Source organism: Homo sapiens, chromosome 3 (assembly GCF_000001405.40).
Source record: "Homo sapiens chromosome 3, GRCh38.p14 Primary Assembly".
Taxonomy (NCBI): domain Eukaryota; kingdom Metazoa; phylum Chordata; class Mammalia; order Primates; family Hominidae; genus Homo; species Homo sapiens.
The window spans coordinates 145,622,638-145,650,558 of NC_000003.12; the positions used below are offsets into that span (position 1 = coordinate 145,622,638).

A 27,921-nucleotide genomic window follows, 5' to 3' on the forward strand; every position below is an offset into this window, starting at 1 on the left:
TTATAAACCAATGTATCTAATTTTACTACAAATATCTATAAAGGACGAAGGTATTGTATGAGGCCTGCAGAACTTACAGAGATGAGAATAAGAGTGGAGGCCCTCAGGATTTTGGAACAAATCCAAGGCCTTTTCACCAAAAACAAGTTACCTTTTGAGGAACAAAATGTGTCTCATTGCTGTGCTGTGGTAGAGATCAAACATTTGACCTTGGAATAACAGATAATCAGCAGCCGGGCGCAGTGGCTCACACCTGTAATCCCAGCACTTTGGGAGGCCAAGGTGGGTGGATCATGAGGTCAAGACATCGAGACCACCCTTGCCAACATGGTGAAACCCCATCTCTACTAAAAATATAAAAATTACCTGGGTGTGGTGGCATGCGCCTGTAGTCCCAGCTACTCAGGAGACTAAGGCAGGAGAATTGCTTGAACCCGGGAGGCGGAGGTTGTAGTGAGCCAGGATTGCACCACTGCACTCCAGCCTGGGTGACAGAGCAAGCCACCATGTCAAAAAAAAAAAAAAAAAAAAAAAAACATAATCAGCAAGTTCAGCCCTTTATCATGAAACTTATGCCACCATATCTACCAATTCACAAAGTTAATCATGTTCAGCATTTCATCATCAAATAGAAATTTCCAGCAAGGCCCAAAGGCACAAGTAATTTGTCTCAAATCCCCAGCATGCATATTTTTTTTCTACATTCCTTTCTCAACTAACTCCAATGGCCTCACAGGATATTAACTGAAAAATTTTGTCTGATTTAGAGTTAGCTTTGTGTCATATTCTGGAGACACTGTAAACCAATGTATATAGCCAGGAGAACACTATTTGCCCTTCAGTGGTACTCCTGAATGATACTTGAGAAGGAAAATATTCACAGTAGCTATAAACTCCCAAAGAACATGCAATTGTTTATACTGACTCATGGGCAATAACTCATAGTTTGGCAATATGTTTATTGTTTTGAAAGGAACTGGTTTGCTAGAGTGCTGACAGAATTGTATAGAAATTTATGTAGATGCATCTCTCATAAAGGACCCAGCAAATGATAATGCTTTCTCCCATGTGAATGTTCAACAATATTTTTCCTAATATAGGGGCAGCTCTCAACAGTCAAGTAACCGAAATGGTCCAGTGTGAATGTAAGTCTTCTTCCTCAGCAGAGCAGCTTAGCCAATGGGTTCATAGACACAATGGCCATGATAGCAGAAATGAGTTTATACATGGGCTCAAAAATTAGGATATGCTCTAACTGAGGCTTCTCTGGCTATTACTGTTGACCACTGACCAACTTGCCAGCCTTAATGACATACTCTGTTAACTTGATATGAGAACATATTTCAGGGTATCAGCCAACCATTTGGCATGACTAATTACATTTGACTTCTAGATATCTGTTTTTCTGATTTCATACTGATTTGGACTTGGATTTACATTCTCTGCCTGCTTTGCTTTTGCCAACAAGAGCATCTAAGGACTTACTGAGTATCTTATTCACCATCACAGAATACCTTATATTTCCCCCCAAAAATTATTTTACTGTAAATTATGGTATAACTCAATGGTCCTTATTCATGGAATTCACTTATTAACATGAGCTTCTGTTATCCAAAAGTGCTAGGTGCATAAAATTGTGGGCTTATCTATTAAAGTATAACTTACATGACCAGCTTAGAGGCATTATCTGTATTGTGAAATTGACTTGGAACTAATGAACAATGTAATACTTTTCCTTTACAGTCAGAATATGTGAATCCAGGAGCAAAGGCTTGGAAATCCAAATGTCACTTTTCTGACACATTTGAAACTATATTTTATCTTTATGTTTTTGAATTCGCCTGGGTTAGAAGTCTTAACACCATAAAAAGTAATGTTATGGTAGTTTATACTGTGGTAAAAAATAAATTCTTAAATCTCTTTGGCATAACACAATGATTTATTTCACACACACACACACCCCCACACATCACAGTCTGATGCAGATCAGGCTGTATTTCCCATCTGGTAACTACAACAACTAGAATACATGGTCTCTAACTCCACTGAAGAAGTAGTGATATCTGCAGCTTCAAATAAGATTCTTTTAAGGACCACATCTGGAAACAGCTAATGTTATTTCTTACTAACTTATATTAACCAAACCTCTGTCACACGGCCCTAGCCAACTGCCAGAAAAAAAAAAAAAAAAAAAAAAAAAAAAAAGAATGGAAAAAGTCTTCCTGTGGTCCTTGAAAGAGGAAGCAATATAGTAAATTCATAATAGGGTCTCTGCCCCAGAAACCAAGGAAGAAATATCTCCTGCTAATGAAAAAAATATTAATTCCATTGACTTGGAAGTCAAAATTGCCATTAATGGGCCCCTCATAACATAGAAGAATGGGCCAAAAAATGACATGTAATATTGATGCACTGATTGATCCTGATCATACAGAAATGTTATTATTGCTTTCCAATGGAGATGCATGTTGGGAATGTAGTGTGTTTTTAAGATGTCTTTTAGTGCTTCCATGTAAACATTAAGCGAACTTCGACAGGCAAGATAACTCGAGCTTGATGTCGAATTAATGTTTGAGTTCCAGTGTAAGGTAAAAGTTCTGGATAAGCTGAAGTTCTGGCTAAAGGGAGAGGAAACATGAAATACATAGTGGAGAAAGAAAGTCATATAGAAGGCCTTCAAAACCGTCTCCAAAAATTAGGACTTTATTTGCTTAAATATATATTTATTCTTGCTTTTCTTCTATATATTTACAAATTTTGTATTTTAATTGATTTTTTTATTTTTCTCCTCCCATTTACTATACTACTTAACATAAGGTTAGTTTTGAAAATTTGCTTTAAATTTTATGATAGATTACAGAGTATCAAGATGGGATTTTCAAGAGGTAGTGTAGGAATGGGCATCACACAGATATCTTATACCTGGTGCTAGATGCACTGGAACTTAGCGTTTTCAGCATTTCTGGAAGTGAGTATATTCTTGTTCTTTTCCAAGGAGAGTTGCATTAAATTGCAGGGAATCACTTTTTCTGTTTAAAAATAGAATAGAAAAAAATAGAATAAAAAAAGACACTGAGGGGATATTAATGTATAAATATTTATCATATTTTATAGTAAGCAGCATTTTTGAACCCTCTTTCATTCTAAATTTAAGACATTTATATAATTAAGTCTGATGTATCCAAAGGAAGCTAGAAACTCTCAGCTTTCTTGAACACAAGGCATAGGCACAAAATCTAGGTGCTACCAATGAAATGTAACTGCTTAAGATTTTGATTTAGAAAAGTTGCATGAAAATGTAGGAGTCCTGAAAGAACCATTATATGGTTGAGAGGTAATGAATGTGTCAAGTTTTGAGATGTGTCTGTGGTGGAGATTTTAACATCAGATGCACAGCGTCACTGGTATGAGCTCTGTTGTGTGTTCCTAAGAGTCATCAATATAGTCTCTGTTGGACAACTATGTGATGTGATATGGGCACTCGTCCTTGCTGGAAAGCCTTCAGATCTGATTCTCTAGTCCCCCTGAATGTCAATTGACCATGTAATACTCTTTAATGAGTGTTTTTCTTTTCTTTTTAACTAGACAAAGTGTTTTTTCTTGCTTGAATTTAAGGATACTGGCTGATACAATGTAGCTGAAGTTTAGAGCAACAAACTAACTTATCCATGATCAGAATACTTCTTATAAGTATGAAATATGTTCTGCCCCTATGGCTTTCACTTTTAATCTTATTCTATTTCAGTATTGCAGTTTTGCCTTTTCTTTGGCTGGGTCTTATTTCATGTTGCCTCACCTTTCCCCCACTCAATTCCAAGTTAAATTAAGTTTTTTAAGCAATAAAAACCACTTGGCATTTATGTTACTAGGGAGTTTCAGGACTGATGTTTATTCCAAATTTGGTTCCCATATTCAGAAATGAAATGAGGAAAGAATAATGTAGTAAACAACATAGAGGAAAAAACACACTACAAAGATAGATGAGCAAATTACCAATTAACTAATTACCAAGAGTTGCAATTTATCTTCATTGAAATGCTGGGACAAGTGTGATTGGCAAATTGAATGTGAAGGGGAATGCATCCCATTTAGTCATTTAATAGGATAGGCAGGTCAGATTTACAAATGGGGATTCACTATGCATTTAAACTATTTATTCCCCTTTCACCCTCCAGACAGATTTTGAATAGAGTAAGAGTTCTTTTTTTCTAAGTGTGCCAATAGGCATTGTTTTTCTAAAATCGGGGGTAAAACTTTGCCCATTTACTAATAGAATTTGGAGAGTGTCTTCAAAAAACTGACCAAATAGTCAGATAAGAATGATTCAAAAGACAGATTATGTTTTATCAAAGCCTGTTTATGAGTACCTAAAAACATTATCCTGGTCAGTATTAAATAATGTATGAATACATTATCCTGGTCAGTATTGAAGATACTGTTGATATTGAATGTGTGTGTGCGTGTGTGTGTGATGTGTGTGTGTGTGTGTGTGTGTGTGTGTATGTTTCAAAACGGGTGCAGGGGAGAAAAAGGCAAAATAGTGGCGGTCAAATTGTACATGTAGAAGACATCTAATAAAATCTGTAATGACCTCATGGTGAAGTGATAAGAAGTATTCTGGTGTATTCCGATCTAGCCTAAACTTATAAAAAAGAAAGTTATCTCAGAGTATATTTTATTTATCTTTTTATGTAGAGAGACTCTAATACTCTCATGCAAGTGGTTGGGCAAAATAATTCATTAAAATGCTCATTTTAAGGTAAGTGTACAAAGAAAAAAATCTTGTCAAAAGAATAGCAACTATGGAGCGACTCGTATTGATTTTTATTAATAGAAATATGAAAAAACTGCATTTATATGCCAAGATTTGTATTATACTCTGAAACAAAAATAAAATGTAAGCCAATTAGCCCTGACAATTACAAATGTATCACAATTTATTTGCTTAAACCGCTAAAGGAGAACACACTTCACAAAGTAAATGTCAGCTGTAAAGACACAATGAAGATTTGACATTCTGATTTCCCACCCTATCCTTTGCTTCACCTTGGTGTGCTTTATGTAATACATTTTTCTTGTGTGTTTAAACTCAAGCAATCGAATAACAATGGTCCAGAATTCATAAGTATAATTTAAAATTTTAATAATTCTTTCTCGTGTATTTGATATGGATAGGCCCTAGATGATTCCCTACTTCCTCCATGCTGACTAGCAGTTACATTCCTTCTTAGAGCAGATTCTCACTAAGCACTTCTTGAATTAACAGATTATGAATTTCAAGGAACATGAGCAGACCGATCTTCAAATAAAACTTATTTTACTTCATAAAATTATTATTTTATGGTAAAGGTAGGGGTGGCTGCAGGATCACCTGAAGCCTTACTGTTAAATAAATATTGCAAATTTTTATTGAATTTTTTTAACTTATATTTATTAAATACGCATTAGATGAAAACAATCTTTGTTCAGTGAATACAGCATTTCCTAAAGTCACTTATAATGTACATGACTTAATGTTTACATAAAATCAACAACAAATTTCAACTGAGCAAATAAGGCAGTCAGTCACAGTTATTCACTAACAGTTTTTAAGCTTTAAGTTATTCCAAGTAATATCATAAAAGAGAATGTAGTTATTATCATGCTGAAGTAATTACTTATTCTGAAAAGTGAAGAAAAAGGACTCAGTTCACCAATGAGCTGTATACAACCTCTCATGAGACTAGAAAAATCAGTTTTTGTACAAGCTTCAGGGGCATGTAAGTACATGTTGAAGAATTTATAATACTAGCATTGGCAAAGGAGCCATGTTCCCAGTAGGAAACAAGATCCTTAATGATGATCAGACTTTAATATCCATTGCCACCAGTGAAAATAAAAGGCTGGACAAGACAAAAGAAAGTGTAAACTGGAAGATTTTCTTGAGACTCATAATGGTGATTATAATTTTAATAAAGGAGCTTTGTCCTGAAATATTGTTACTTAGCATAATGACCAAACAGAGAGATAATACAGATGTGTATTGTTTTTTAAATTATTTTATATCTTTGTAAAAAGCTTTATTTTAATATTTTTGTGTTAATCAACTTTATATATACATATTTTATATTTGTATTTTATCAAATGATCAATTAAATGTTAACTGTATCATTTGATGAACTTTGGAAATTTTACATACTGTATACAAGCATAACCACCACTCCAATAAAGATTTAGAATATTTTTAACTCCCTAGAAAATTTTCTAATGCCTTTTCCTCCTCTAGCTTCCTGCAAACCCCTAGGAAACCCATGATATTACTTCCATTATCATAGCTTACTTTTATCTACCACCTAATTTCATATAAATACTGCCATATGGTTTGTACTCTTTTTGTGACTAGCTAGAATATATTTTTCATAAAACTCATTATATTGATGATGTTGAGTATCTTTTCATGTGTTTGTTGGCCATCTGTATAACTCCTTCAGTGAAATATCTGTTCAATGATTGACTTTGACTTTTTTTTTAATAAGTTCCTTTAGGTTCAGAAAGTTGAATAATTTTACAAGTTCCTTGTAATGGACAAGTATATGTGTACATATAAAATCACAGTTATAATACTAGCATTGTCAAAGAAGTATATATATCATACATATCATAATATATTTTGGCAAAGGATATATTTCCCACGGTCTGTGGGCCTCTTATGTACTTTCTTAGTGTCCTTTTTATTTGAAACTTTTATTGAGATAATTACAGAGTCACATGTGGTTATAAGAAATAATATACAGAAGGATTATGAACTCTTTACCCAGTTTCTCCAAAAATAAAATTTTGTAAAATTCTAGTCTAATATCATGAACAGGATATTCACACTGATACATTCAAGATACAAAAATTTCTATCACTGCAAAGATTCCTCATTATCTTTTATGTGATCATAAGTGGTACCATGTTTTCGATTTTGTATTCTGTGTGTTCATTTTTACTGTATAGAAGTGTAACAGATTTTTGTGTTGATATTGTGCCCCATGACCTTGCTTAACTCATTTATTTTATAGTTGGATGTTTTGGTACATTGTTAGTATTTAACAGATGGACAATCATGCTCTATACAAAAGGGGAAAATTCTTTCTTTCAAATTGGTATTTTTTTTTGTCTTTTTCTTGATGTCTCATTGCAGTAACTAAGATTTTTACTGCATGTTGGGTAAGAGTTTTGAGAGCAGACATCCTTGCCTTTTTTATTGAGCTTAGAAATAATGCATTATCTTTCACCATTAATGGTTATGTGATATGCAGGTTTTTTAAAAAGAATATTTCTTATCAACCGTAAGTAATTACTATCTATTCCTAACTTACTGATCTTTTTTTTTTTAACATGAATGAATGTTGGATTTTGTTATACCTTGCCTGTATAAAGTTATAAGATCAGTTGATATTTTTTCCTTTTTCCTGTTTTATGGCGAATTACATTGATTGATATTTGAATGCTTAGTCAGCCTTGCATACCTTGGCGATACTTTATAATTTTATTTATAGTTGTTAGATTTGGTATCCTATTTTATTTGAAGATCTTTGCATCAAAGTTCATAAGAGAAATTGGTCTGTTTTATTTTTGTCTTTTTTTATATATCAGAGCAATAGTGGACTCACAGAATAGTTTGAAACATACAAAAGTATTGTATTTCTAATACAAGCAATGAAGAATATAAAAATAGAATTAAGAAAATAATTTCATGAACAATAGCACATAAATGAGTGAAATACTTAGGAATACATCTAACCAAGGAGGTGAAAGACTTGTATATGGAAACAATAAAATGTTGAAAGGAGATAAAGGCCTAATAAATAAGAATACATTCTGTGTTTATGAGTTGGAAGATTTAGTATAGTTAAGAGGCCAATACTTCTCAAACTCATCTGTAGATTCAATGTAATTTCTATCAAAATTTTGTGCAACAATGGATAACCTGACCTTAAAATTCATACATAATTATAAGAAACCCTGAATTGTTCAAAAAAGAACAAAGTTGGAGAACTCATACTTCCTGATTTTAAATTTATTACAAAGCTACAGTAATCAAAACAATATAGAACTATCAAAAAATAGTTATATGGATCAATGCGATGTAAAATGAGAGTCCAGAAATAACCCACATATCTATGACTAATTGATTTTTGACAAGGATGCCATTACCATACTATGGGGAAAAATAGACTGTTTAATAAATGGTGCTGAGAAAACTTTTGGAACATGCGAGAGAATAAAATTTGACCCTTACCTCAGATCATCTACAAAAAGTAACTGAAAATGTATCAGTGACCTAAACGTAAGAGCTAATACTATACAATTCTTACTAGAAAACATAGGAGCATAATTTTATGTCATTTTATTTGGCAATTGGTTTTCTTTCTTTCCTTTTCTTTTTTTTCTTTTTCTTTCTTTTTTTTTTTTTTTTTTTTTGTTTGAAGGCAGAGTCTCGCTGTCGCCAGGCTGGAGTACAGTAGCACGATCTTGCCTTACTGCAACCTCTTCCTCCCGGGTTCAAGCAATTCTCCTGTCTCAGCCTCTCAGGTAGCTGGGACTACAGGCACACACCACTACGCCCAGGTAATTTTTGTTTGTATTTTAGTAGAGATGGGGTTTCACAGAGTTGCCCAGGCTGCTCTCGAACTCCTGAGCTCAAGCAATCCAACCGCCTCAGCCTCCCAAAGTGCTAGGATTACAGGCGTGAGCCACCACACTCGGCCAGTTTTCTTTCTTTTTCAATGAATTTCTCTATTATTATTCTACTTTCAATTTTCTTGATTTCTGCTCATCATTATTATTATTTCCTTTGTTTTGCTCTTCTTTTTGAACTTATTGAGGTAGACATTTAGAGATTAGCTGATTTGAGACCTTTCCTCATTTCTAATGTTAGCACTTAATGCTATGAATTTTCCTCAAAGCATTGCTTTTGCTGCATTTTATATATTTTGATATGTTGCGTCTTATTTTCACTAAGTTAGAGTATATATATATATTTTTTTCTCTGAGACATTCTCTTTGACACATGTAATATTTAAAAGTGTGCTATTTAATTGCCATGTAGACATTTTCCTATTGTTTTTCTATTATTCATTTTTACTTCTATTATATTGTGTTCATCAAACACAGTCTATCACAGAAATATTATAGTTTTTTAAAATCATCATATATAATTTGTAAAGCTCATATGGAAAAGTATAGCCGCTGTGCTGCTTATATGTCTACTCTTTCCATTATTCTTTCTTCCTTCCTGATGCACCATGATTCTTTCCTTTATCGTTTTCTTTTTATTTAAAGACTTTTCTTTAGCCAATCTTTGGGAGTAGACTTTCTCATTACAAATTCTTCTCATTTTTCTTTATGAGAGAATGTCTCTGTTTCCTCTATATTCCTGAAAGTTAGTGTCATTGGATATAGAATTCTCAAGTTAACAGTTTTTTTTTTCTTTTTCAGCACTTGAAAAAATATGTCATATCCTCCTAGTCTCCTTGGTTTCAAAGGAGAAATCTGTCATTCAAATTTTTGTTTCCCTACAGTCAATGAACTATTTATTATTTTCTGGCTAATGTCAGGTTTTTTGTCTTTATTCCCAAAAGTTTAGTTAAGATGTGTATTAATGTGGTGTGGTCTCATGGTATGCCTTTAGCTTTTTGAACCTATAGGCTAATGTCTTTCACTAAATTTCAAAAGTTTTCAGTCATTGTTTCTTTAAATACTGGTTCTGTCCCACTCTCTTTCTCCTCTCCTTCTGGGGTCTGATGATATGAATGTTAAAACTTTTGTTATTGTTCCACAGCTCCCCAAAGCTCTGTTTATTTCTTATTCAGTCTATTTTTTCTATATTGTTTAGAGTAATTCTATTGAGCTGTCCATAAATTCACAGAATCTATGCTCTGTCATCTCCACTAGATTAAAGAAATCTAGTGATTTTTCATTATCTCTATTGTTTTTTTTTTTGGCTATATCAGCTTCATCTGATTGTTTTATTTAATTTCTATTATGCTGTTGAGAACATATATGTTTTCATTTGCTTTGAGTGAATTTACCATTGATTTTAGAGCATTTTTATGATGGTTACTGCAAAGCCCTTGTCAGATAATTCAAACACCTTTAAGTTGGTATCAGTTGATTATCGTTTTTCATTCAAGTGCTATTTTCTGAGTCTTGACATGATGTGTAATTTTTGTTTGCATGCTGAACATGTTGCCTATTATGTTAGAGGGGCCAGGGACTTATTTTTTTTTTTTTATTTTAACAGGTACTCATTCTTTTTAAAGTGTTTACACTTTACACTGTGTTGCCTTCTTTTATGTGTTGTACTTTCATACGTTTAATTTTCAGAGAATGTGTGGTCATTAATTTTGGTCTGCTTGGTTTATCTGATGCTACTAGTGTTACTACAAACCTACTGGTGGTGTTTTAGGGAGTAGAAGGATTTTCCCCAGTCCAGGGAAAACCTGGTACCTCTTGGTAGAGGAGGGGATTCTTGGGCCCTCAGGGACTGTGATGGTTAATATTAAGTGTCAACTTGATTGGATTGAAAGATGCAAAGTATTGTTCCTGGTTTTGTCTGTGAAGGTGTTGCTAAAGGAGATTAACATTTGAGTCCGTGGACTGAAAGAGGTAAACCCATCCTTACTCTGGGTGAGTACCATCCCCTTAGCTACCAGCACGGCTGAAAAAAGCAGGCAGAAGAAGATGGAATGAGCAAACTTGCTGAGTCTTCCAGCCTTCATCTTTCTCTCGTGCTGGTTGCTTCCCGCCCTTGAACATCAGACTCCAGGTAATTTGTCTTTGGACTATTGGACTTACACCAGTGGTTTGTCAGGGGCTCTCAGGCCTTCAGCCACAAACTGAAGGCTACCTGTCCGCTTCCCTACTGTTGAGGTTTTGGGACTCGGACTGATCCACTACTGGTTTCCTTGCTCCTCAACTTGCAGACGACCTATGATGGGACTTTACCTTGTGATTTTAAGTCAGTTCCTCTTAATAAACTCCCTTTCATGTATACATATATCCTATTAGTTCTGTCCCTCTTGAGAACCCTGATTAGAGGTTTTTTCAGGCTGGGCTGCTTGTTGTGATGAAGTATTCCTTGCTATTGTCACCCAACACCCTTACATCACCCATGTCTTTTGAAAAGCAGAAATTTTTATTTATTTGATTAAAGAAATTTTACTGTAAAGTGTGCATGTGTTTTACTTTTATGCTTAGTGTTTTATAATTTCTAAAATATGTTTCCTACCCAATGGCTGCAGAGCTATTGTCTTCTGTTTTCTTCTCGAATGTTTCTAATTTAACTTTTATGCTTTGGCATATAATCCAAAAATTAATTTTAGGTATGTAATGAGATAGGGATTGAGAAATATGTTTTAGATATATTATTCTAGTTGTTTGAACACCCTATTCTGGAAAAAAGTTTCCCATTGAATTACTTTATCAACTTTATTTAAAAAATAAATTGTCTTTATACACATAAATTATTTCTGGACCATCTATTTTGTTCCATTAATCATTCTTCTAAAATTAAGCCAATACCACATGTTTTGAGAATTGTAGATTTATATTAAGTCTTAAAGTCATATTGTATCTACCTTCTAATATTTATATTATTTTAAAGAATTTTACTATTCTTGGTTCTTATGAAGTCCATATAAATTTTACAATCAGTATGTTGATTCTAAAAGAAAAGAAATCCTTATGGAATTTCTATTAGTATTGTATTTAAATCACTTCTAAATTTGAGGATTGTTATTTGTTGAATTGCTTTTCCCTCAAAATTCACGTTGATGTTCTAACCTCTAGTACTGAAGACATGACCTTATTTGGAAATAGAGTCATTGTAGATGTAATTATTTATGATGAGGCCATTGACATAGAGGGGGCTTCTAATCCGAGATGATTGGTGTCTCTATAAATAGGGCAAATTTGGACACAAATTCGCATAGGAAGAGAATGAAATGTGAACATAAAAATGGAACACTCTTATCTCAGATTTCTAGCCTCCAGAAATGTGAGACAATAATTTTTATTGTTTGAACCTTCCAGTTTGGTGGTATGTTGTTAATGCAGCCCTAGAAAACTAATACGATTAGTAAGGACATCTTAACAATACTGAGTTTTTAAGTTTATAAAACTGGTATTGTCAACCCATATAGTTAGGTTTTCTTTAATAACTCTCTAAAGCATTTTGTAGTTTTCACTATAGAAGTTTTACATGTTTCATTAAGCTTATTTTAATATTTTTATTTATTAATATATTGCAAATGATATACTTAAAATTAATTTTTCTAATGATATACTCTTAGAACATAAATTTTAATTTGATTTTTATATACTGGCCATGTGCCCTGCCAGCTTACTAAGTTCACTTATTAATTTGAGTGGTTTCCTTTCCAGAATCCATACTTTGAATTTATTTTCTTGCATTATTGCCCTGATTAGGACTCACAGTACAATGTTAACTACAAGAGGAGAGAATAGTCATCCTTTTTGTTTGTTTGTTTCTCATCTTGGAGGAACTGTGCAATGTATAATTGTTTAGTGTAATGTTTGACAGGTTTTTTTTTTTTAGGTACTCTTTATAAGACTGAAGAACCTCTATACTATCCTTGGTTTTCTCAAATTTTATTATATATAAATCTTGAATTTTGCCAAATGCTTTTCTATTTAGTAAAATTAATTATATATAATATTCTCCTTAATTTATGTGGATACATGCAGTACAAATTTTATTGAACAACTAATACACTTTTTCACTCTATCTCAACTAGTTAAATACCTTTTACTCTTCCTATTTCTCAAAATACACATTTAAAAATAAAAACATTTCCAATAAACTACCCCACTCTTCTAAAATAAAGGGTATGCATCTTTCATGTGACAAGATGACAAGACCTATGTTTATTCATACATCTTTACACTTTATACTGAGTCAAGCTTCAATAAGTTTAATTACTGCAATTACTATAGCATGAAATCTGTAACATAAAGTAATCTACTGCTTAGTGATACAAAAAATTAAGTGGGGATACATGATGTTTAGAAATATTAACTTTTGATACTGTCACATTATTAATAAATCCATTATAGGCCTATTTATAATTTTAGACCTGTGACCTTACTGTGTTAAATATAGTATTCATATTAGAAAAACAACACTTAGCATTTGGCATTTCTCAAAAGTGACTGACTCAATTAACATAAGATTTAATCATGTGACAGGATACAATTTCGGTGGCTTAATCACAAATAAGTCATCTAGACCATTTTCTACCCCTAGAAGAATAAACCTAAATATGCTTAATCAGTGTGTAAAATCCTCCAGCCAATTGTCATAAACTTTCAAAATTGTTAGCCATGGAAAAGAGAGCATGATGTCTCTTCTTGTTAATTTTCAATAAAGTGTTTAGGCATTATTTTCAGTTATATGTTCAGAAAATTAACATAAGCTCTTTTTTGAACATGATTAATTTTCTAATGCTTAGCAAAACTAACCATCAGTTCTACTAGTATATATGGTTACATTACAGTCTACATTTTCACTAGTCAGAGCAAAAGGAATCCAGCTGGTATTCGCTGTCAAAGTTGACAACTAATGAGTGTCTGAGCTCTACCACAAGTGTAATTCATACTGGGGTGGGCCACCCAGATTCCTTTCAGGAGTTTGGGTCTTGTTCTCTGTGCTGTCTTTGGTCATTGCTCTCTGGAAGGGAGCTGCCCTGCTCATATAATGCTGTCTCCTCAGAGGCAGCCCACATTACATGGCAGGTCAGTGTGGTGATACAGAGGCTGACCCCACTTGCCTTGATCAGGGACAACTCTGAAGGGCATCCAGCCCTAGGCTTTGAGCAATCTCCTGAGGCTTCTGCTGCAATGTCATCCCACTTCAACTTTTCCCTCTGCCCAGTCGTGCTTCCCTCTCTCTTCAGTGATATTGCTCCTGGCAGCTCTTCCCAATAAACCATCCACAGCAAATCTCCAACTCAGGATCTATTTCTAATGAGAACCAACCTATAATTATGAGTCACAATGTCTTATTTTTCAGGAGCCGTCTACATTGAGAAAGCTTTTTATTCTATCTATCTATCTATTTATTTATTTATTTTTATTTTGAGACGGAGTTTCACTCTTGTTGCCCAGGCTGGAGTGCAATGAAATGATCTCGGCTCACCACAACCTCTGCCACCTGGGTTCAAGCGATTCTTCTGCCTCAGCCTCTCAAGTAGCTGGGATTACAGGTATGCGCCACCATGCCAGGCTAATTTTGTATTTTTAGTAGAGATGGGGTTTCTCCATGTTGGTCAGGCTGGTCTTGAACTCCCAACCTCAAGTGATCCACCCGCCTTGGCCTCCCAAAGTGCTGGGATTACAGGCGTGAACCACTGCGCCCGGCCTAGAAAGCTTTTTTTAAAAAATTATAGAATATTCTCTCCTATCCTCTGTTCATCAGTTAGATCCCTAAATCCTCCTCATAATTTTTGTATCATTTCATAATAATCTCCTTTTAGAAGACTGTTTGATCTTCCCCACTCCTGTTTAAGAATTGCTATTTCTTTTGTGCTGTCATACAACTCTGTTCATGGCTGTTTTCCAGCATGTATCATACTATAAACTAGTTAATTTTATTAACTAGAATGGAAAAAACTGCTTTTGTCAGCATTTCAGACAGGTTTAGTCAGGCAGAAATGCCTGGGCACTAGAGAATGGGGACTCCAGTGGGTCCCATAAGAAAGTGCAGTAGAGCAACGAACAAAGATATACCATCCAGAGTGCTCCATGCAGCAGGTGGGTAACTAGGAGGGAGTGTGTGGGCTGTGAAAGGCAAGAGAGTATCAGGGTTGATGGTACTGATATGGCTGAGACTTTTCAGGGAACTCTGTGATTCCGTGTTACATACTTCCAGTCAAGACTAAGATTGCTAAAGTCAAACACTGCTGAGTGGGATTGCAACTCTTATGCAAAATAGTAAAGAAGGCCAAGTTTAATTCAGTTACGATGTGGGCAGAGCTAATGAAGTTACAGGATCTCAGAATGAGAAGCACAAGGCGGTATATAAAGTATAGAAACATAGCAATGGCACCATTGACTTCCATATGAAGGCTCTTAGGGGTCTGAGCTCTTAGATTCTTCTCTAGAGGTATTTTAGCTTATGGCTGAACTGTCTGGGCCTTCATCATTCTCATCATTCTCCCATTGGTAGGACTAGAGTAGTATTATCGGGTTTCAGGGCGGCATTTTAAAGAAAATGTTTATATATAACTACATACTGACATATCTCCATAAGCAGAGCTCGAGTGTTAAAGTATTGCCCCCACACCCACCCCAATTTCAATTCTTTATAGAACAAACAGTTGCCACAGTCTGAATGTTTGTGTCCCTCCAAAATTCATGTTAAAATCCTAAACTCCGAGGTGACATTATTAAGAGGTGAAGCCTTACAGAAGGTGATAAAGTTATGAAAGTAGAACCCTGATGAATGGAATTCATGTTCCCATAAAAGATATCTCTGAGAGTTCCCTTGCCCCTTCCACCATGTGAAGACACAGCAAGAGGGCACGATCTATGAGAAAGCATGCCCTCACCAGACACCAACTCTGCCATTGCCTTGATCTTGGATTTCTGAGACTCCAAAACTGTGAGAAATAAATTTCTGTCATTTATAAACTACACAGTATATGGTATTTTGTTATAGTATTTTGTTATAGCACGCTGAACAGGCTAAGACACCAACGTTTAACTGATCTTTCCACTTTCTCCCAAGGCTATTATATCAGGAGCAGAAGTTTCTCTCTGGGTTACATCCTCCTAAGGCTATACTAAAATTATTATGATACTTGCTTAACTGTTATACCTTACTAAAGAATATAAAATGTATCCTTCAAATGTATCAAAGTATTCAAGAAAAAATGGTATTAACTGGCAGCTGAATATTTTTGCACATGAAAATGTAATTATTATAAATTACAATAAATTAATAATTTACAAATCAGTATGTTGCTTCAGTTCATTTTGTACTTTTATAAGGAGCAAAATCTTTGACTTTAACTCTTCTAGTTATAACTGCTAGTTTCCAAACATGAGTAAAATTCCTATTGGAAGTAAAGATAGTTTGTAACAGTAAAAAAGAACTCAAGTCATTTTAGAATAAAAAAAGCAAGAAAAACAAAAAAGTCGGAATAATTGTCAATCTGGAAAGCAGACTATGAAATGACAAATGTGGGGCAAACAAATATAGTGCTGTGAATGTGTAGTGTAACACAGATAACTGACAAAATGATATGCCTGAAATTATTACTCTCCTCTGTTGTACAAATATCTTGTAACTGGGCATTTTGTTAAAGACAATAAGAATTGTGAAGAGAAATAAAACAGAAATACTTTATTTCGAGAACAAGGTAATAAAAATAACGGAGACTGACTTAGCAGTACCCGTATGATTCCCTGAGAATGATAGTTTAAAGGTTCTCTGCAAACCCCATCCTTTATTGTAGGTATTTTGATAGAGCCCTCAGTACTGAAAATACAATTCATGGCCTCTTAGCCAGACACTGGCTGCTTATCACAACTTAACAGAAAGTGAGATGAAGCTTGTCAAGAAGAAAATATGGGGCATTTTAGTGGAAAATCCACCGAGACTGGGCTGCATACAATTATTTGATAAATTTAAAATAGAACAGATTGCCAGAATTATTTCCCAGCAAAGGCATTGCTGAATGACACAGAATTGATGTGTTACAGAAATAGCTGATAAGGGACTAGACTGCAGCCCACACTAATCAAATTCCAGACTCTAATAGCCCAAGGGAATTCAAATTCTTCAAGCCAGGGGCACAAACTACAGCCAATTCCATCACAGTCATTGTAACAATATGCTTACATGGGTAAGCATGTCTACCTACAGTTATCACAAATATAAATGACAAAGTTTAACCTTTTCTCCTTCAAAAGCCTCTTTTAAACTCCTATAGGGGGTTTTAAAGCTAGGTCAAAAGCAACTGTACATTAGAACTTCTTCAGAATACTAGGGAAGTAGTATTTTGCACTTGATATTTGCAAACTTAAACAATTCAACTTATCCCCCTAGTTATATCTAGTTATAATAAATGGAGAAACAACTTGGGTAGCTTTCATGGGGCAGACTTAGGGCACATTCCCGAAAAGCAGACCGTGATATGAGCATCTCTTTGGCTGTGATTAAGGAAGAGTTCCCAGGGAAAACTGGTAAGGGGATGGAGGAAGCAGGACAGAGAAGTGAAACCAAGCAAGGTACAGGCAAAGTCCTGCAAAAGGCAACTTCAGCCTGATCCTGTGGGAAAATTGCAGTTTAATGTCTCCTGAGTTGCTCTGAGCCGGGGAGCTGGACTTTGGTACTCTAGCATCAGTTTGATCATTGACTAAAGGCTTCCGCCGTAGGATATAACTTAGAGACACAGCTCTCTGGTACCTTAGGAAAAGCAGGCTCCAGTAGCTCCAGGGCACTCTTGTGGTAAAGAGCTGCAAATTCTGGCTGTTGGAAGAGAAAGCAAACCAAGGAGGGAATAGCAGAGGAAAGGAGAGGACAGAAACAATAAAAGGTATCCAAAGAAATCTGAGCCAAAGATCAACACTCTTCACTAAAAGGGCCATCCTTGAGAATGGTTGCAGAGCATAATCGTACTACTTTGTTATCAATTACTAGTAATATATTGGCTCAAGCCATAACAGGAGCACAAAGGGAAAAGCTAAAGCTTTTCTTTTCATCAATATCTAGTTGAGGCACAGTCCATGCAGCAGAAGCTACATTACAGAGGAGGCATTTGAGAAGGGCTTTGAAGGACAAATGTGCTTTTTCAAAAGAACATATGGCATACAGCATTCTAGGAATAAAAGTAGCACGAGCAAAATGGTGGAGCTAAAAATATACAGGGTAATCTGAAATACAGTGAATAAAGCATTCTGGATTATCTATCAAAGGTAGGGAGTGATATGCTTCCAGAAGTAATTAAGAATAAACTAGAAAACTTTCTTTATCAAAAGTCCTTGTCATTAATTTGTCAGCAATAAGCAGTTATTAGAGTTTTGAGAACCTAAATGGTATGAATAAACCCATACATTAGGAAGAACAATCTAGCTATGCTATGTTGGTTGGCTTAAAATGTCTCCAGTCAAAACCTTAAGATCTTGAACTTGGGTCACATGAAAGAAAATGGAAAAAGAAAACATTGCAGAAATAGAATCTACATTATTTGACAGCTTGCCAGGTAAAGAACTAAATGTGAGTATGGCTTTTTGAATCTAGGTAACTGAAAAAAAATTGGTATATTTAATAGCAAATGAAAAATTTGTAAAGAAAGCTGGTTTAGGAAGGATGATAATTCAGTCATTTTATTTATTTGTTTTTACATTATTTGAAAACATATGAAGGAGATAAAACGCTAGGAATAAAATAAATTATAAAAGTAAATCTAAGATTACATAAATAAGAGGAAAAAGCTTTCATCAAAACATAGAAACAAAGAACAAAAACAATTTTTAAATATGAGATGTTAAATCCAGCTGTTGCCTATTATAATCATTAGTAAATGTCTGTTTGTTCGGATAATTTTAGTCACTAAGCATTGTATGGATAGTACATGCCTAAAAGAAAATAAGCTAGCACTAAGATTATCACCAAGGACAAACTGTGTAGATGCTAAACAGGATAGACTAGAAGGTAAAACCTAATTAGAAGGCAAAGCTTCATGATTCGGTTACAAAAGCTTCATGATTTGGTTACATGGAGATAAATGTGCATGCCCAGTCTGGGTGTAGAAGTAGGCTACATTATTGGACAGCACAGAGAATAGAATGAGTCCAGAAAGACTAAGTTGTATAAACCTTGTTAAAATAAAAAGAGGGGAGACACAGGCCTTAACTTTTGTGTAAATATAAATCCAAAAATATATAGCACCCAATAAGGGTGCTATATCCATACGGGATATAGCACCCTTATTGCTTATCCCACCATGGTCTGTCAATGTGATCAATAAATCCTATATTCCAATAACCACATAGCAATACCTAGGTCCCTCACATGCTTCTACTAACTAGTTGACATCTCTACCTAAAAGAAATCACATCTGGGAAAATGTAGCAATTCACTCTCCTGGTGTCTCCTGTGAGTGCATAAAGTTTGCCCTGCCCCCGCTATCATGTCAGAGAGAGGTGACCACCCAGAGGGATAAATAGAACAGAGGGACAATATATAGTAAATATATGGTCTCAAAAATCCAATAGTCATCAATACTGCTTAAGTGAAAAATTAGCTGGAGTGTAGGAAAGGAAAAGAGAAAGAAAGAGGAAAAAATAGAGATATAGATGATATACAGATATAGATATAGCTAGATATAGATAAATATAAACATATTAACTATGTATAGATAGAAGCCCCTGATGAGAATGATAATAAAAACCCAAAAATTTCTAGCAGCCTGAGCAAATGGATTACATAATCCTCTATCTATAAGAAGCACAGAAATATAGAAGAAAGGTTTTGAGAGGAAGCTATATAAAGAAGTCATTTATATAATGTATTTAAGTAATATAATTACATAAATATGAAAAAATGAGAGGATCATCATTCAATAATCACTGTTTTTCAATCATTCTTTAAATGTTTATAATTATATGCTATAAACGCAGTACAGTGTTGTCAACAGGGGGCACTTCAGTGAACACGAAGGCATATACTTTGTTCTCATCATTTTGATTTTGGATCCGTGAAGGGAAGGCAGAGATTCAGCATTATTAAAGAGTGGCAATTTTTATGAGAGACATTTCTTTGATTTTCTGACCTTCAAATGAATTACAAAGACATTTTCTTTTGTATTAATCATATAATGACCTATTACTGAATTCTCTAGCTGTTTATGCTAGATTTTCTCTTAATTCTTTTTGGGTTTCAGGTATAAAATCATGCCATCTGAAAATGTTAAGAATTTTGTAAATCCTTCTTTGCTTTTTAGCCACATATTTATTTTACTTTTCAATTTCAGTCCTATCACTGACAGGAAAAATTAAATAAAATTGGCAATAGAGATCTTTCTTGTCTTATTCTTGTAAATAAAGGGAAAATTTCAAATTTCATTAGTACCCAAGATACTGGTTAATGATGTTACCTATGTCCACATATCTTTATATTTCATTAGGAATTTTTATCAGAATGAAGTTTAATTTCACCAAATACCTTGTTTGCTAAATATGAAAATAATATTGTTGTTTCTAGTACTGATTAATATGTTTAATAATGTTAATCAACATTCAAATATTGAATTAAGCCTGCCATTTTGGGATGAATAATATTTGTCATGGTAGTTTTCCTTTTGAAAAAAATAACAAAATAATAGTATAACAATATAAGGGATATAGACTTATCATCCATAACTAACAAATGCTAACACATTTTACACTGCCTAAAATTTAAATGTGTGTATGAATATACACATATATGTATTCATATGAAGTTCCTGATTTCATCTTCTCATTCCAACTTCCTTTATTTCTTCCTTCTACAGAATACAGCTTTATAATTATCCTAATATATTTAGCCCATGCATCTGTTCTTTTATTAACATTTTATCACACAACACACACGCACACAAGTGAACACACACACACATAACACCTGTGGTATTGTTTTGTATGTTTTAATATATGTAAGAGTAACCATTCTCCATGTCTTTTGATGTGACTTGGATATTTTGGTATATTGCTTATATCTCTCCATTAGCATGTGCTTCTTTGAGACTATTTTAGTTCACTTTTTTGATTTCATGAATAAATGTTTGATAATAATTTTCATCAGTTTGGAGGTTATAGCATTTTTCATGTGGCTTTTTTCTTTAACTTGCTTGTTTTCCTTGTTTCCCTCTTTGCTGCTTGTATATGTAATGGTGGCCTATGCTACCTCCTGTATATCCCACAGACACTTCCCTCCATTTTCACAATTTGTGAGCCATGCGGTCCAAGACTGTCATAATAATCCCAGAGTCTGGTCCCAACACCCTTGCACATAGCCTGCCTTTGGGTATGGTTCTCTTCTATTCTGGTCCACAGTGGTTTTCTTCCTTTCTTAACTCAAGTTAAGTATTGAGTTGTATGTTTTTATTCTATAATGTCTATGTGTTTTGAGCAAGGCGAAGGTTTCAGCATATGCCCAAGATTCCACTTTGAAATGGAAGTCTTCAACAGAGAAGACTGATTATATTGTTCCTGGCTAACAGGGGGTCTCCTTGGTTTTCAGGGAAATAACTTAGTCACCATTTTATTTTATTCTGTAACAATGCCTTAGTTGACTGCCACCAAACCACAGTCTGATATATTTACAGCCTGCTTTTGGCAAAGCTGATATGATTGAAAGTTTCTTTTTTTTAGCCCCACAACCTCTGTTTCTGTGGTAAGATACCAAATGGGGCTAAAGTAATGTTCTAGGAGCTCTTCTGGGCAGTCAGCACCCCTTCCATTGCTACAGTAGACAAGATTGTGCCAAATTTCTAGCTTCATTGAAGCTGTAGTTTTGTTTTATTCTTGTTGGTTTTGCTTTGCTTTGTTTTGTTTTTCCAGTGTATTCAGCTGGTTTCAGGGTAAGAGACCGATTATATGTTTTCTATGCCATTTTAAACCAGAATTATTCAGGCTATCCTTAAAGCTTAGTTAATATTAAAATATATATACAACACAGATTCAAGAACAGTTTGTCCTGGATTATACAATTCATTATTTTAAAGTTCCTGTCTCCTTCTCCACATAATTTCATTTAGAGTACCATTTTTTTTGTTTGAATGTTTGGCTGTTTCTTAGTTTGGAAAGTTTGCCTCTTGCTAAAATAAGCATTTTAAAATAATGGTTTGTGTTCTAATTATAAAAAGAATGCCTAATTGTTTTAGAAATTTTTGGAAAAGCCAAAAGAAACAGATGGAAGAAACCAATATAATTATTTTCTCCAAAATTTCTCAAGATCTTCTCTGAGGCAAAAACTTATGAACAAAACGTGTTCAATGCTTTTCTCCATCTGATTAGAATGCTTATTTTTTCCACAAGTAACATAGCTCACAATAATTTATCTCTTATGGAATCTAGATAATTATAACATTTACTATAAGCCTCCTTTGAGATTTTTTTTTTGTTAAAAAAATATTTTAAAGACAAGGTCTCACTATGTTGCCCAGGCTGGTCTCCAACTCCAGGCTCAAGCTGTCCTTCCACCTCAGCCTCTCAAATAGCAGGGAATAATACAGGCTTGCACCACCATGCCCAGTGGGATTTGCTTACTTAAGTTTCTTTGAAAGTTTAGAACATTATTACTAGAAATGTTAGGAATAAAAGAACGCATTGATAATAATCCCACTTAAGCTTTAATGTCCAAAAAGCTAAATTAATTCAGAGAAAGGAATTGTGAGTTGCACATACTATACTATCACAGCAAAAAAAAAAAAAAAAAAAAATCGTCAAATTACCCACAACTTAGTAATGTGATACTCACCGACTCTCTGGGTAAGGGATTTGGACAGAACATAGAAGAGAAGACTGTCTTTGCATCATAATGTCTCAGGCCTCATCTGAAAGACCCAAAGGGTGGGGACTGGAATCATCTGAAGGCTCATTCATTCACTTATCTGGAAATTTATATTGACCCTTGGCTGGAGATCTCCATTCCTTTCTATGTGAGCCTCTTCATGTCTCTCTCTGTGGACTAGAATGAGCTTCTTCCATGGTATAAGGAATGGGTTCCAGGGAAATCTATTAGAAAGACAGAAATAGGCCAAAGTCACATCCTCTTTTATGTTATAGCCTCTGTAGTAAGGCAGCATTACTTACACTACATTCTGTTTGTAGAAGCAGCCATGAAACCCTGTCCTGCCCAGGTTCAAGGGTAGAAAAAATAGATTCTACCTCTTGAAGGGGAGTGGCTTTCTGGAAAAACAAGTGGGACCTGAAATATTACTGTGGTCATTTTAGGAAAAAATAATCCTTCAGTGATAGAACACAGAGAGTAAAAGGTAATAGGGAATGGCCCTTCCCTTCTGGAACAGTTGCTCTATTGAACAGAGAACAAAGTTCCTCTCCCTCAGAGCTATTATTGGGTGCTTCCATGGGATTGCCTAGGACTTGGGTGTAAGGGGACAAAGGAAATAAAAAGAAGATTTCTACAATCTCTCAGAGCTTGTAAAGTCTCCTTCCTCAAGCCAGAATTGGAGTGGCTTCTGCTGGAGTGCTCTGTACCACAGTTCATTTCTGAGATTTGGGCAGAAGGATACTACGAGGGAAATGGTAAACTCACCCTCAGAGCCATGGTACTTCAAATTCTGGTGTTCTTCCCCCCGCCACAAGCTGCTACCTACCATTCAGAAGTTTCAAATAGCTGCTCCATGTATTCTAATATTTATAATTTTACAAAGTGGGAGAACTGAAACTGTTCTGAAGAGAATTTATAAATAAAAAATATATAATACCTATCATAAAAACGATTATAAATATATACATGTAATAAAACATTATACTTATATTTTAAAAGTGAATTGAATCTATCTATATACACATAATCACATGAATAAGCTCCAAAAATTATCCAAGTAAAGTAAGTTGTAAAAGAACACATGTATTGTACAATACTTTTTGTGTAATTATTAAAAATTATATCAAATATTAGAGAATATACAGAGGATGAAATTTGAAAGACTAACCAGTAAATAGTTAATGCTGACTATTGTTAGTGGGGAGGATAATAAAGAATATTTACATTCTGTATTATAAATTTTACCAATTTTGTAACATAAATTTTCTCACATGTTAATATCTAAAAACAGGTATGTCTTTTAATCTCCATAGACCAGGTAGCAGTTTGGATTTAACATGGCGTTGTACTTCCATCCAGTCTTGCATAATGATTGTCAGTGGCTTGGATAGAGAAAAGTAGCATAGTCTTTTAAGAAATGGTGTATTAGCAGTGCTCTTAATGGAATACAGGAAAATTCTGTGGGAAAAACTACCTTACACCTTACTGAACATATTATAAGACCTCAATGAAGAGAACATTTTAAAAGAAAAGAATTAAATATCTAAATAAATGGAGGAATATATCATTTTCATTTTCATGGAGTCAAATAAATGGTGCTGGGCCTATTAGATATCCTTATGAATAACTTGATCCCACTCACATAGCAAATCAATTCTAGGCAGAATATAGACCTAAGTAAAAGTGGAAAATAACATTTAAAAAAAATTCTAAGACTTTATATTTATGAATTTGGCATACAGAAAGATATTCCAATTGAAACAAACAAAAAAATCATAAAAATATTGATAAACATTAAACAATTTAAAATGTTTATTAATCCAAAAACATAATTAAGAGTACACAGAGGCAAGTCACAGTAGGGGCCAAAACATTTGCAATCCCTGTAATTAATAGAGGACTAAGATCCAGAATACATAAAACAACTTCTACAAATAAAACTAAAAGACACACAGAATTGAATAGAAAAATGGGCAAAATACTTGAGAAGACTCTTCACAAAAAAGATTCAAAAAGCCAGTAAAAATTCTGAAAATATGCTTAAAATGCTCATCCCATTAGTAATAAAATAAATGCGAATTTAAATATAATACTAGTTTAACTGGAAACACTATTACACATGCACCACAATGCCTAAAGTGAAAAAGACTAATAAAACTTTTAGCAAAATGCAAAGAAAATAATCAAAACTTTGAAAAACTACATATGTCAGTAAAAATATTTTAATCACTTTAGAAATTAGCATGACAGAGGCCTGGCGCGGTGGCTCACACCTGTAATCCCAGCACTTTGGGAGGCCGAGGAGGGCCGATCATGAGGTCAGGAGATCGAGACCATCCTGGCTAACATGGTGAAACCCCGTCTCTACTAAAAATACAAAAAAAATTTGCCGGGCATGGCAGTGTGCGCCTGTAGTTCCAGCTACTCCCGAGGCTGAGGCAGGAGAATGGCGTGAACCTGGAGGCGGAGCTGGCAGTGAGCCAAGATCATGCCACTGCACTCCAGCCTGGGAGGCAGAGCAAGACTCCATCTCAAAAACAAAAACAAAAAAAGAAATTAGCATGACAGTGTCACTTGAAATGGAATATACTTATGGACAATGACCATGCTTTTTCACTCCTAGGTATGTATCCCATAAACATGTATACCTGTGCCCCAAGAAACATGTAATTAACTATTCAAAAAAGCATTACTTATAATATTCTCAAACAGAAAATAACCAAAATGTTCATCCACTACAGAACAGATAAATAAAATACACTATATTCTATCAATGGAATACTGTATTGTGATGAAAATGAATTAAACTACAGCTCACACATAAAATACATTAATTTCAAAAATATAGTTTTAAGCCAAAGAAGCTATACACACACCCATGCTATATGCACATGCATGTGCAGCCATGCTATATTATTCAATTTCTATAAAATTCATAACAGACAAAACTACAAAACAGTCTTATAAGTCAGAAAAGTGGCTACTTTGGGGATGGAAGGAGGAAAAATAGATTTAGATATGTCAGAGATGGCATAAGAGGAACTTTTTGATTTTTCTAAGCAATATTTCATTTTTATGTGTGTCATGCCTCAGGTGTTTACTTTGTAATATGTTACTGTACTCTACTTAATTTTTATATTTCCTATAAGTCAGCATTTTAAAAGTAAACTCTGCATATGAAAATTTAGCTAAAAAATAAACATATTTTACTTCTATTTTTCCTTTTACATATGTGTGACAAGTAAAATAATAGCACTCAAAGATGTCCACACCCTAGTCCAAAAAACCTGTGCATATGTTACCCTGAATGTTAAAAGGGATTTTTCAGATGTGATTAGGTTAAGGATTCTGAGATGGGAGGATTATCCTGGATTAGAGGTGTGGGCCCAAGGCCCAATGTGATCACAAAAGTCCTTCCCTATAAGAGGGAGGCTGGAGGATCAGAGTCAGAGGAGTTGATGTGATGATCCAAGCACATCAAAGACTGGGGAGGGAAGTGATGGGGAGAAGGGAGAGGGACAGGGAGAGAGGGAGAGAGGCAGAGAAGGAGGGGGAAATAAATTTGAAGATACTCTGCTGAGAGCTTTAAGATAAAGGAATAGTCTGTGAGGCAAGGGATACAGCAGCCTCTAGAAGCTGAAAAAGCCAAGGAAATTAATTCACCCCTAAAGCTTCCAGAAAAACACAGCCCTGCTGACTCCCAGAACTGTCAGATAAATCCATATAGCTTTAAACAATTAAGTTGGTGGTAATTCATTATGGCAACAGTAAGAAATTAATACAATACGCAAAATGATGGCATGTGACTTGAAGAAAGTCTATGTCTACATGAATTGTAAATATATCTTTCTAAATGCATACCATTAACATTTTTAAATAAGAAAGTATTACATAATTGTTTAATTACAAAACATTTTTTCTTGGTGATAAGTAAAAAATAGTTGTATTATCTCAAATTTGATGAAATATGGAATATAATTTCATATGCTGGAGTTTACATTATAAACACATAATAATCAAATATATATATATACACACACATATGAATTAAGAAGTGTTTAAGCATATTTACTTTCTTTCATCAGAATCCATTCTTTAGTTCATAGAGATTAATATCCATAAGACTAATTGAAAGACACGTTTATGAAAGTGATGGCAAGTGAGTTCCTTTGGATTAATGGGCCTCACTGGCATTGACTACTGTAATCATTAACCATTGTGAAAGAAGTAGAACTTTGCTACTATTCACATCCTACAGCTGTGCATGTGACTGTCAACATAGGCTTCTTTGAGGAAAGGTTATCTTTCTGATGCGCTGTCTGAGGTCTTCACAGAAATGTTCAATGTGTCACATAGGGTCCACTCCAAACTAGGCTATCCCAAACTTACTCTCCAAAATTTGGTTTAAAATCATCCAGTCATTTTCCAACGAGGTGATAACAAATAAAGAAACAATCAGACAAAAAAACTTTTATTATACAGATTAGTTTCCTATTGACTTTAACTGACAAAACATTTGGACAAGTTTCGTAATGCTGCCATTGTTCCCTGAATCCACCTTAGAGCATATGTCAGGATGAGGAGTGAGTCTACACTGTTGTAACTTGAGACAGTCTGAGAGAGTTGCTATAAAAATGGCAGAAGCGCTCACGCCTGTAATCCCAGCACTTTTGGAGGCCGAGGCGGGAGGATCACGAGGTCAGGAGATTGAAACCAAACTGGCTAACACGGTGAAACCCCGTGTCTACTAAAAATACAAAAAATTAGCCAGGGCGTGGTGGTGGGCGCCTGTAGTCCCAGCTACTCGGGAGGCTGAGGCAGGAGAATGGCGTGAACCCGGGAGGTGGAGCTTGCAGTGAGCCGAGATCGCGCCACTGCACTCCAGACGGGGCGACAGAACAAGACTCCGTCTTAAAAAAAAAAAAAAAAAAATGGCAGAAGCACTAGGTGGAAACACATCTACATTACTCATTTCAGATCAGAATACCTGGGTGCCATTCTAAGCTCCATTGCTATTTCACACGTGACTGGAATAAATGTAGCACAGCGTGTGATTCTAAGGTGCTTCAAATCAGGAAGAGAGATGACAAATATTGCCTTTAATCAAACATTTACTTTTTAAACTTTTATTTTAAGTTCAAGGGTACAAGTGCAGGTTTGTTACCTAGGTAAACTTGTGTCATGTGGTTTTGTTGTAACAGACTATTGCATCACCCAGGTATTCAGCCTAGTACCCATTAGTTATTTTTTTCTGGTCCTTCCATCCTCCCACCCTCCACCCTCTGAAAGGCACCAGCGTGTGTTGTTCCCTTCTATGTTTCCATGTGTTCTCACCATTTAGCTCTCACTTATATGTGAGAACACGTGACATTTGG

The 27,921-nt window shown here is 34.7% G+C and overlaps 1 long non-coding RNA gene across 2 annotated transcripts, besides 1 other annotated feature; it reads right to left on the reverse strand.

The window, feature by feature from the left end:
- Positions 1-444: 444 nt before the first annotated feature.
- LOC105374144 (uncharacterized) lies at positions 445-27,921 on the reverse strand. 2 transcript variants are annotated; one of them, XR_001740944.1, is made up of 4 exons: positions 27,881-27,921; positions 22,514-22,770; positions 2,923-3,029; positions 445-484 (listed from the first exon to the last, which is right to left on the reverse strand). It is a non-coding gene; the product is annotated as an uncharacterized LOC105374144 (long non-coding RNA). The 2 variants fall into 2 exon arrangements; XR_924562.2 differs by lacking the exon at positions 445-484 and having other exon boundaries at positions 2,808-3,029.
- Positions 825-1,119: a silencer, noted in NCBI's record as "tiled region #7261; HepG2 Repressive non-DNase unmatched - State 24:Quies". NCBI's record gives its function as "represses a minimal TATA promoter and a strong SV40 promoter by Sharpr-MPRA in HepG2 cells {active_cell/tissue: HepG2}" and the evidence as "EXISTENCE:reporter gene assay evidence [ECO:0000049][PMID:27701403]".